Source organism: Homo sapiens, chromosome Y (genome assembly GCF_000001405.40).
Source record: "Homo sapiens chromosome Y, GRCh38.p14 Primary Assembly".
In the NCBI taxonomy this organism is placed as follows: domain Eukaryota; kingdom Metazoa; phylum Chordata; class Mammalia; order Primates; family Hominidae; genus Homo; species Homo sapiens.
Genome location: NC_000024.10, coordinates 22,453,067 through 22,465,490, shown reverse-complemented (window position 1 = coordinate 22,465,490; position 12,424 = coordinate 22,453,067). Strand labels below are relative to the sequence as shown.

The 12,424-nt window shown below is 46.7% G+C and overlaps 1 long non-coding RNA gene across 1 annotated transcript in view; it reads right to left on the bottom strand.

Annotated features, from left to right (window-relative positions):
* Positions 1-12,424, bottom strand: part of LOC101929148 (uncharacterized) — a 45,775-nt gene that overhangs the window by 19,224 nt on the left and 14,127 nt on the right. Inside the window, exons 4-7 of the long non-coding RNA NR_110413.1 lie at positions 8,834-9,056; positions 8,440-8,525; positions 1,143-1,261; positions 359-712 (exon numbers count right to left, since the gene is read on the bottom strand). This is a non-coding gene — a long non-coding RNA (uncharacterized LOC101929148). The remainder of the gene's footprint in view (positions 1-358; positions 713-1,142; positions 1,262-8,439; positions 8,526-8,833; positions 9,057-12,424) is intronic.

Sequence of the window (12,424 nt, the reverse complement as noted above, 5' to 3'; positions counted from 1 at the left end):
ACTCATGATCCACACAAAAATAAATAACACAAAGCCTCACAACTGAAGCAGAGCCACACAGACAGGCCAACAAATGATTGGGAGACTCAAAAAAGATGAAGCCCTGGAGTGTGTTTGCCACATTCCTTTAAGCAGAAGTGACTTACAGGCGCACACACACACACACACACACACACACACAAAATACCACACACACAGGCAGACATCCAACACTTGCAAGAATCCTGAAGAAACACACTGCTTGTTAGCTTCTGACGCTGCATGGTTTTGCTAGATCCCCTTTTGGGAGACAGCAACCCAGGGGAACATGCAGGCTGTAACTAGAAATCACAATGGAACAAGTTTGAAAAAGACTCACCCCTACAACATCTAGGCAGGCCTGAGGAATCCTGCAGATCTTTTGGATCCTTAGGGATTTTGCAATTTATTCCTGGGCCTCTGTTTGATGTTTCTTTTGGCTGGCTCACATCTACTCTCTCGTAGGATCATGGGACTATCTCTTGGATCCCACAGAGAAGACAGGCAAGAGTCCACAGCCGACATACCTACAGGGAGGTCTCCTTCCTCAAGAGGCAGGAACTTGTCTCTAGGCAATGATGACATTCATTGTGATGCTAGCCAGAGCTCACAATGAGGACTGGTGTCCTGAGACTAGTGCATATGCATTCCTGAGGCAGGTACAGGCACCTAGCTGTCAGAGCTATCAGTCTGCCTAAGAAGAGAAAAATTGTGCAGGTAAAGTCAGTCTGGTCTTGGGAAAAAGGTTTCCCATGAGAAACCACTGTCAGACCCCAAGGTCTCGACCTCAGGGCCCCTTCTGGCCATCTCCATGGTCGAGTCTTGCTGGAGGAGGAGGCATTTTGAGACTCTGAGGTGGCGACTAGAAACTGCTCTTCCTACTCCATTCCGAAAGGATGCTTTTTGCAAGAATCCCATCCCATGAGAATCAGAATTTGGTCTGGTGTGTTGTTGAGGGTTCTTTGGGTGACAGAATTATACCTGAGATCCCAGAGATGGGTGTCAGTGAAAGATGGCTGGGCTCTTTACCTCACTGTCTCTCTCCACCCTGGGCCTTGCTGGGGCCCTCCACAAAAGGCAGGAACCATGACAAAGGGAATTCCAAAGAGGGCCAGTGTTCTCACCTCGATCTGGTCTCTCATGGGTGCAGATGAGGTTCAGACAATATCTCAGATGCCCTCTGTGGTGATGGCAAGCCTGAAACTGGTGAACAGTAGTGCAGTTGAGGGGCACTGTGGATTCCCTATGAAAGCAAAGAAACATCAAAGCTCACTTCAGAAAATGACTTGCCTTGAGCTTGCATCCAAGCAATGTTCAATGATTCCAGTCAGAGTATCCAAAAACCTTCTGCAGACTGCAAACAACTTTAGCACTCACAATGACACCACAAACTACAACCTGGATGAAGTCAGCCTACCCAAAGTCCCTTTTCATCCTTGAAATCCCTGACAGCCAATTGGTCTGTGGTGAGAGGCAACCCCATCCAGCAACAGCCCAATGAAAGACCTCATTCGCATTGAGAAAGGACTGGCAGATGCAATGAAACAGGGGCTAGATTACCAGGCAAAAGCCCAACACAGCTGCCTGCTTTTCATGCTAGAGGAATCATGCAGCCCTCTGATAAAAGTGGGAGAACAAGAGTTTCTTTATTGGTGGCTGTAACGAAAACTTACAGTGTTAAAATTATCACATCTTTCCAGTCTTTAAAATGTGACAGTGTTTAGAAGAAAACACTCATGCATTGGATTCCCATGAAGGTCATCCCCCATGAACTGTGAATTGCTTAGTGTGGAAGATGTGGAGCCAGACCCAGGAAGCCCTAGGCCGATGAGGAACATGGAAGTCAGGAAAAGAAGAGACAAGTGTGCAGGGCACATCCCACCCAGCATCAACACATCCCACTCTCATTTGGCTCAGGGTATGAGAGCTCTCAAATCGGGAGCTTGTTAGAACCGCCCCAGCTTGCACTCCAAATGTTCCCTCAACATTGTATTACTCCCACCTCAACACCAGGACATAATATGAACTGCCTGTGTAATTAAGGGAATGTGGGCATGCAGTTGGAAGTACCTTCTGTGTCATCTGTCTTCACCGTTTTTGCAGGAGAATGTGCTGAACTCTATTTACCCCTCACCAGATTGTATCCTCACCCCTATTTTACCTTGTTACTTCTCACACTCTCTGTCCCAGAATGAAATCACAAGATGATGGAGGAGTGCCATATGAGGACATGAAGCACCTACTCAGCTGAGAACAGAATTCAAAGTAAATTCAAAGGTCCCTTCACATAGGACTGCTAGTTTCTCACACTGGGTTGGCTGCAGAACAATGAAACACAGAATGAAACACATTGTTTTGGGGTGTGATGTGCTCCTCTTCTTTCTAGAAGAATGGCTTTTTTTGCAGGGGGAGGTAACTTGAACCTATGCCTCTCTCAGACAGTCTCCTAATTCACTGCAAATTCATAGTCCACAGAAAAATAAGGGACACAGAGCCCTGCAACTCAAGCAGAGCCACACCAACAGGCCACCAAAAGGTGTGGAGTTTCAAAAAAAGGAAGCGATGCAGTGTGTTATCCACATTCCATTAAGCAGACTCCACTTAGCCACACACTAACACATAAACACACACACACAAAGCCACACAAACACGGAGATATCTAACACTTGCAACACTTCCACAGAAGAACACAGCATGGCAGGTTCTGAGTTTGCGTGGTCCTGCAGGAAGCCTTAATTGAAAGACAGGAACTTTGGGGAACACAGGTGGGCTGTAGTTAGAAATCAAAGTGGGGTAGGTTTCAAAAGACTCACTGCTACAACATCTAGGCATGCCTGAGACATCCCGCAGATCTTTTAGATCCTTATGAATTTTGTGGTTTATTCCTGAAGCTCTGCTTGATGTTTCTTCAGGCTTGTTCATATCTGCCTTCTTCTAGGATCATGGAACTATCTTGAGGATCCACAACTCCACAGAGGTCCCCTTCTCTGCCAAGATGTGTAGACTTAGGCCACTGTGGCATTCATTGTGATGCTAGCCAGAGCTCAAAACTAAGGCCTCGTGCCCTGAGACTAGCAAACGTGCATTTGTGTGGATGGCTCATGTACTGGCTGTCAGCCTTCCTAGGCAGAGGAAGATGGTACAAGTAGAGCCGCCTTCATACTGAGAAAAAGTTTGCCTGGGGTAATATCCTGTGGTACTCTAAATGTCTCGACCTTAGGGCTACTTCTTATCGTCTCCGTGGTTGGGTTCCGCTGGAGTATGAGGCATTTCAAGACTGTGAAGTGGTGGGTGGAAACTGTTCTTCTGACTTCATTTCCGGAATAGGCTGTGTGCAAGAATCTGGTCCCAAGGGGATAGGAATGTAGTACCGTGACTTTCCTTGTTGGCAGCGGTAGTGGTAATTTATGATTTTAAAAGTATCAAAGCTGCCCAGTCATTTAAACATAACAGTGCTTAGAAAGAAACACTCACTCAATGGATTCCCATGAGGGTCGTTCTCCGTGCAGGGGGAAACCTTTAGCGTGCAAGTGATTAAGCCAGACTCAGGAAACCATAGGCTGACAAGGAACATGGAAGTCAGGGAAAGAAGAGGCAAACATGAAGGCCACATCCCCATTCAGCATCAGTCCTTTCCAGTCCCATTTGGCTCCAGGTATGAAAAACCCCAAATCTGGAGTTTGTCAGAATGGCCCCAATTTGCACTCCAACTTTTCCTGGCACGTTGCAGGACTCCACTTGAACACCAGGCCATTGCGTGGACTGCTTGTGCAATTAAAAGAATGTGGGGATGGAGTGGGAAACCACTTCTGTGTCATCTGCCTTCATTTTTTTTTTTTTTTTTTTGGCAGGTGAAGTTGCAGGACACCATTTACTCTTCACCAAATTGTATCTTCACTCCTATCTGACTTGTTCACAATCTATTTCACAGAAGGAAATCCCAAAATGATGGAGGAGTGTTTCCTCATGACGTGAAGCACCTGCTGGGCTGGGAACCGAATTCAAGGTACATTCAAGGGGACCTGCAGACAGGACTGCTATTGTCTCTCTGTGGGTTGGCCACAGGAAAATAAAACACTGAGAGATGCCTCTTTTTTGGTGTGGTGTGCCCCTTTTCTTTCTAAAGGAGTCAATTTTCTTGCAGGGTGAGGTGACTTGGATGCCCACATGTATCAGCTCACCTTCAAATTCACTGCGGATTAATAGTCCACAGAAATATAAAGAACATGGACCTCTGGAGCCCAAGCAGACCCACACAGAGAGGCCACCAAAAGTTTCTGAGACTCAAAAAAAAAAAAGTGCTGAAATTCGTTAGCCACATTCCTTTAAGGAGATTCCACTTACAGGCACACACATAAAAACGCGCGTGCACACACACACACACACACACTCTAAGCCACAAACACGTGAAGACATCCAACACTTGCAAAACACTTCCACAGAAACACAGCCTGGCTGCTTCTGAGGCTGCCTGGTTCTGCAGGAAGCTCCACCTGGAGGAATAAACCTAGGGAAAACAGCTCGGCTGTACCTAGAAATCACAGTGGGGTAAGTTTCAAAAAGATTCATCCTACAACCTCTAGGCAAGCCTGCGGCATTGTGCAGATCTTTTTGTATGTGTAGGGATTTCTCAGTCTATTTCTAGGACTCTCCTTGACATTTCTTCAGGCTGGCTCACTGTACCATCTCTTAGGATCATGGGACTGTTCCTTGGATCCCACAAAGAAAACAAGGGAAAGTCCAACACCAAAGCACCTCCATGGAGGTCTCCTTTTCTGTGAAGCTGCAGGAGTTGTCACTAGGCAAAGGTGGCATTCATTGTGACTCTAGCCAGAGACCACAGCTCAGGCCTTGTGCCCTGAGACAAGCACATGGATATTCATGAAGCCAACTCTGGCATCTGGATGTCAGAGCTGTCAGACTGCCTAAGCAGAGGAAAATGGTACAGGCAGAGAATGTTTGGGAGCAGGAAAAAGGCAGCCTGCAATAAGCTAAGGCGGGACCCTAAAAGTCTCCACCTGAGAACATCTTCAGGACACCTCTGTGGCTGGGTCACACAGTAAGGTGAGGTGTTTCGAGATGCTGAGGTGGTTACTGAAAAATTCTCTTCTGACTCCATTTATGAAAGAGGTTGTGTGCAAGAATCAAGTCCCCTGGGGATTGGAATATAGGCTAGTGTGTTGTTGAGGGATCTTTAGTTAATGGAATCATAGCTGAGACACCAGAGGTGGTTGTCAGTGAAAGATGACTGGGTCCTTAACCTCACTGTCTCCCTCCACACTGGGCCTCACTGCCACTCTCTGGGAAAGCCAGGAACACCAACAAAGGAAAGTCCAAAGTGGAGCTCCATTCTCACACCTCCAAAAGGCCTATCATGCATGCAGATGATGTTGAGACAATGTCTCACATGCCCTCTGTGGTGATTGCCAGCCTGGAAAAAGTATCCAGTAGTGCTTTTGAGGGACACAGTGGACCACACATGAAAGGAGTGAAAAATGAAGGCTCTCCTGAGAGAATGAGCTGATTTGTGCTGGAGGCCTAGCAACGTTCCAAGATTTCCATCAGAGGACCCAAAATCCTCCTGCAAAATTCAAACAACCTCAGCCCCCAGATGGAGACCATGACCCACCACCTGGAGCACAGCAATCCTATTCAAAGTCTCTTTTGGTCCCTGAAATCCCTGGCAGCCAAAAGATCTGTGGCAAGAGGCAGTCCTGTCCAGCAACACCCTCCATGATGAGAAAGGACGTGCAACTGAAATGAAACAGAGTCTAGTTTACCAGTTAAAAGCCAGGCACGATGGCCTGCTTCTCATCCTACAGGAATCATGCAGCCCTCTGATATAAGTGGGAGAAAAACAGTTTCCTTGTCAGTGGCTGTAATGGGAATTTATCATGTTAAAGGTATCACAGCTGCCCACTCATTAAAATGTCACAGTGTTTAGAAGGAAACACTCAAGCAATGGATTCCCATGAGGGTCGTCCTCCGCAAAATGGGAAACATTTAGTGTGAAAGACTTAGAGCCAGACCCAGGAAACCCTAGGCCCACAAGAAATAAGGAAGTCAGAAAAAGAATAGGCAAGTGTGAAGGCCACATCCTACCCATCATCAATCCATCTCACTCCCATTTGGCTGCGGGTATGAAAGCCCTCAAATCCGGAGTTTGCCAGGATATCCCCAGTTTGCAATTCAAATGTTCCCTGCCCGTTGGAGTACTTCCAACTGAACACTACGCGATGAGGCTGAAAGCACCTTCTGTGTCATCTGTCTTCATTTTTCTTGCAGGTAAAGTTTTGTCACCCCATGCACCCCTCACAAGATTGTATCTTTACCTCTGTCTGAACTTAATGCTATCCACACTCTATGTCCTAGGGTGAAATCCCAAAATGATTTTTAAAATGTGCCCCCCACCCCAGCAAGATGTGAATCACCTGTTCAGCTGGGAAGGGAATTCGAGGTTAATTCAAGAGACCCTGTGGACAGGACTGCTAATGTCTCTCCTGGGTTTGCCAAAGGACAATAAAACACTGAAAGATATCTATTTTTTGGTGTTGTGTGCTCCTCTTCTTTCTAGAATGGTGGTTTTTATGGCACACACAATGCCACACACACACAGACATCCAACATTTGCGACACTCCTACAGAAATACCCAACCCAGAAACTACTCAGGATGCATTGTTGTGCAGGAAACACCACCTGGGAAAGAGCCCCACAGCCCAAGCAGAGCCACACAGACAAGCCAACAGAAGTTGGGTAGACACAAAAAAAGGAAGCACTGAAGTGCGTTAGCAACATTCCTTTAAGCAGACTGCACATACAATCACACACACGCATATACACAAACACTCAATGCCACACACGCATTCAGACATCCAACACTTGCAACACTCCACCAGAAAGGTTTGGAGACAAAAAAAAAAATGAAGCACTGAAGTGCATTAGCCACATTATTTTAAGCAGTCTCCACTTACAGGCACACAAACACACACAAACAAATACACAATGCCACACACACAGGCAGACATCCAAGATTCACAACACTCCCACACACAAAAAAAAGTTGGATAGCTCCTGTGGCTGTGTGATTCTGCAGGAATCCCAACTTGGGAGAGAGCAACACCAAGAAACACAGGAGAACTGTACCTAGAAATTTCAGTGGGGCAAGTTTCAAAAAGACTCACTCCTACAATGCCTCGGCAGGCCTGAGGATTCCAGCATATCCTTTTGCATCCTTAGGGATTTTGCAGTGTATTCCTGGAGCTGTGGTTGATGTTTCTCCAGGCTAGGATCATGGGACAATCCCGTGGATACCACAGAGACAGGTGACTGTGCATTCTTGAGGAAGGATCAGGCACCTGGCTCTCAGAGCTGTCAGCCTGCTTAAGCAGAGGAAATTGGTACAGGCAGAGCTGGCCTGGCATGGCCAAAAATACTACCTGTGATAACCCACTGCCAGATCGAAAAAGTCTAGACCATAGGGCCATTTTGGCAGTCTCTGAGGTCAGGTTCCACTGAAGGAGGAGTCGCTTTGAGACTGAACTGGCCTTTGTAATCTGCATCTCTGCCTTCATTCCCCAGAGAGGCTGTGTGCAAGATTCCATTCCCATGGGGATTGGAATGCCCTTTGGTGAGTTTTTGATGGGTCCTTTGGTGATGGAATCATTGCTGAGACCCAAGAGGCAGGTGTGAGCAAAAGATGGCTGGCCCCTTGACCTCACTGTCTCCCATCATCCTGGACCTATCAGGGACTCTCCGGGAGAGGCAGAAACCACGACAAAAGCAAGTCCAAGATAAAGTATTGTTCCCACACCTCAAACTGGCCTCTCATGGGTGCAGATGAGGTTGTGACAGTGTATCAGAGGCATCTGTGGTGATAGCAAGCCAGAAAAGGCTATCCAGTAGTGCTGATGAGGTGCAAAGTGGACCCCCCATAAAAGCAAAGAAGAATCTAGGTTCATCTGGGAGAACAAGCTGACTTGTGTGGGAGTTCAAGCAATGTTCAAAGATTTTTGTCAGAGGACCCAAAAGCCTCCTGAAAAGTGTGAACAACATCAGCCTCCACAAGGAGACTGATGACACAAAACCTGGGGCATAGCCAGTCTACACAAAGTTCTTTATGCTTCCTGAAATTCCTGGTAGCCAAAAGATCTGTAGTGAGAGGCAGTCCAATCCGGCAAGATCCAATGAAAGATCCACTCCACAGCGAAGAAGGACGTGCAGATGAAGTGAAACAAAGCCAAGATTACCAGGCAAATGCAGAACGACTGCCTGCATATCCTCCTACAGGAATCATGCAGCCCTCTGATAAAAGTGGGAGAACAAGAATTTCCATGTTGGTGGCTGTAAGAGGAATTTAAGTTTTTACAAGTATCACAGCTGCCCAGTCATTAAAACTTGACAGTTTAGAAAGAAACACTCACGCAGTGGATTTCCATGAGGGTCTTCCTCTGTGAACTCAGAAAGTTTTAGTTTGGAAGACGTGGATTCAGACCCAGAAAACCCTAGGCTGAAGAGCAACATGAAAGGCAGAAAAAGAAGAGGTAAGTATATAGGCCACATCCTATCCAGCATCAATCCAATACACTCTCCTTTGGCTCCGGATATAAAAGCCCACATAGTGGGAGTTTACAAGGATGGCCCCAGTTTGCTCTTGAAATGTTCCCTGCTCGTTGGAGTACTGCCAACTGAACAACTAGCTATGGAGTTGGAAGCACCTTCTGGGTCATCTGTCTTCATTTACTTATCTATTTATTTTTTTGCAGAGATATTGTGGGACCCCATGAACCACTCACCAGATTGTATCCTCAACCCTACCTGAACTTATTGCTGCTCACCCTCTATGTTCCAGGATGAAATCTCAAGGCGATGTTGGAGTGCCCACTCACGACATGAAACACGTGCTCAGCTGTGACCCATATACGAGGTAAAGTCAAGCGGCTTTGCAGACAGTACTGCTATATTTTCTCCCTGGGTTCACCACAGGACAACAAAACACTGGAAGATGTCTTATTTTTGCTGTGGTGTGTTCCTCTTCTTTCTAGAAGAGTGGCATTTTTTTGCAGGGGGAGGTAACTTGAATGCCCATGTGTTTCAACTTGCTTCCCAATTCACTGCAGATTCATGATCCACAGAAAAATAAAGAACATGGAGCCCCACAGCCCAAGCAGAGCCACACTGACCACCCAACAGAATGTTGGGATACTCAAAAAAAGAAGCGCTGAAGTGCATTAGCCACATTATTTTAAGCATACTCCACTTACAGGCACATACACACACACACAATGCCACACACACACACAAACAACACTCACAACACTCCCACAGATAAACACACACTGGCAGCTCCTGAGGCTGCATGGTTCTGTGGGAATCCCCATCTTGGAGACAGCAACCCAAAAAAACATTTGGGCTGTACCTAGAAATCACTATGAGGCAAGTTTCAAAAAGACTCACCCCTACAACATCTAGGCTGTCCTGAGGAATCCTGAAGATCTTTTGCATCCTTAGGGATATTATGGTTTATTCCTGGGGCTGTGCTTGATGTCTCTTCAAGCTGGCTCACGTCTGCCCCCTCCTAGGAATGTGGGTTATGTCATGGATTCCACAGAGAAGACAGGTGAGAGATCAAAACCAACACACTTTCATGGAAATCTTCTCCACCAAGTAGCAGGGACTTGTTGCTAGGCAACGGTGGCATGCACTGTGATGCTAGCCAGAACTCAAAAATCAGGCCTGGTGCCCTAAGACTAGCACATGCACATTCGTGAGGGAGGCTCGGGTGCAGTGCTGTCAGAGCTGTCACCCTACCTAAGCAGAGGAAAATGGTAAAGGCAGAGCCGTGCTGGTGTAAAAAAAAAAACGCTGCCTGCAAACACTCACTTCAGGACCCTAAAACTGTCAAACTGGTGAACACTCCAGGCTGTCTCGGTGGTCGGGTCCTGCTGGAGGCAGAAGCATTTTGTTACTGTGAGGTGGTCACAGGAAACTGCTCTTCTGACTCCATTCAAGAAAGATCTATATGCAAGAATCCGTTCCAGCAGGGATTGGAATATAGTCTGCTGTGTTGTTGACAGCTCTTTCAGTGATAGAATAATACCTGAGACCCCAGAGGTGGGTGTCAGTGAAAGATGGCCAGGCTCTTGATCTCAATTCCTCCCTTCATCCTGAGCCTCGCAGGGCTCTCTGGGAAAAGCCAGAACCAAGACAAAGGCAAATCAAAGTTGGAGTAATGTTCTCACACTATGGCCTGGCCTCTCACAAGTGCAAATGAGTTGAGACAGTGTCTCAGAGTCCAGCTGTGGTGATGGCAAGCCTTGAAAGGGTGTCCAGTATTGCTGTTGATGGGCACTGTGGATTCCCCATGAAAGCAAACAAAAATCAAGGCTCACTACAGAACAAACTGTCTTGTGCTGGAGCCCAAGCAATGTTCAATGATTCCTGTCACAGGGCGCAAAACCATCCTGCAAAGTGCATACATCCTCAGCCCCCGCAAAGAGGCAACAGCCCAAAACCTGGAGAGCAGCCAGAATACCTGTCATTTTTTATGATCTCTGAAATCCCTGGCCACTAAATAATCTGTGGTGAAAGGCAGTCCAATCCAGCAACATCCCAATGAAAGAGCCCCTCCACAATGAGAAGGCCATGCAGATGACATTAAACAGAGGCTAGATTACCAGGAAAAGCAAGACACTGTTGCCTGTATCTCATCCTGCAGGAATCATGCAGGCCTCTGATAGAAGTGAGAGGACAAGAGTTTTCTTGTTGGTGTCTGTGACAGGAATTTATGGTTTTAAACCTATCAAAATGTCCCACTCATTAAATTGTGACAGTGTTTAGAAGAAAACACTAAACAATGGATTCCCATGATGATCATTCTCCACAAACTGGGAAACCTTTAGTATTTGTGCTCCTTTTCTGTCTAGAAGAGTGGCATTTTTTTTTTTTTTTTGCAGGCGGATGTTATTTGGATGCCAGCACATGTTGGCATGCCTCCCAGTCCACTGCAGGCTCATGATTCACAGAAAAATAAAGAACACAGAGCGATGCAGCCCAAGGTAAGCCACATAGACAGGCCATCAACGGGTTGGGAGACAAGAAAGAAGGAAAGAAAGAAAGAAAGAAAGAAAGAAAGAAAGAAAGAAAGAAAGAAAGAAAGAAAGAAAGAAAGAAAGAAAGAGAAAGAAAGAGAGACAGAGAGAGAGAGAGAGGGAGGGAGGGAGGGAGGGAGGGAGGGAGGGAGGAAGGAAGGAAGGAAGGAAGGAAGGAAGGAAAGAAGGAAGGAAAGAAGTAAGGGAGAGAGAGAGATGCTGTAGTGTGTTAGCCACATTGTTATAAGCAGACTGCACTTACAGTCACACACACAGAAACACACACACACACCCAATGCCACACAGACACACAGACATCAAACACACAGATATTCAACACTCACAACACTCCCACAGAAACACACAGTCCAGGAGCTCCTGAGGCTGTGTGGTTCTACAAGAAGCCCCACCTGGAGAGAGCCACCCTGGTGAACACAGGGGGCCTGTACTTAAAAATCACAGTGGGGCAAGTTTCAAGAGGACTCACCCCTACAATGTCTAGGCAGGCTGGAGGAATCCTGTAGATCCTTTTGGATCCTTAGGGATTTTGTGGTTTATTCCTGGAGCTGTATTTGATGTTTCTTCAGGCTGGCTCACATATGCCCTCTCCTAAGATCATGGGACTATCTATGGATCCCACAGAGAAGACAGTTGAGAGTTCACCACTGAGACACCTCCACAGAATTCTCCTTTGCCGAGACAAAGGGACTTATTGCTAGATAATGGTGACATTTATACTGAGGCAAGCCAGAGTTCACAATGAGGCCTAGTGCCCTGAGGCTAGTGCATGCACATTCATGAGGCAAGCTGGGGAGCATGGCTGTCAGAGCTATCAGCCTGCCTAAGTAGACAATAATGCTACAGGCAGAGTTGGCCTGGTATCAGGAAAAAGGCTGCCTGTGAAAAAGGCTGCCTGTGAAAAAGACTGCAAGGTCCTAAAACTCCCAACCTCAGGGACCCTCCAGGCCATCGTGGTGGTCGACTTCCACTGGAGGAGGAGGCATTTTGTGACTGTGAGATAGTTTCTAGAAACTGCTCTTCAGATTTCATTCTGGAAAAAGGCTGTGTGCAAGAATTGAGTACCATGGGGATTAAAATATAGACTGGTGTGTTGTTGAGGGTTCTTTGTGTGATAGAATCATACCTGAGACCCCAGAAGTGGATATCATGAAAAGATGGCCAGACTCTTGACCTCACTGCCTTCCTTCAACTTTGACCTCACAGGGGCTCTCTAGGAAAGGCAGAAACTACAACAAAGGCAAGTCAGAGTTGGATCACTGTTCTCCCACCTTGTACTGCCCTCTCTTGGGTGCAGATG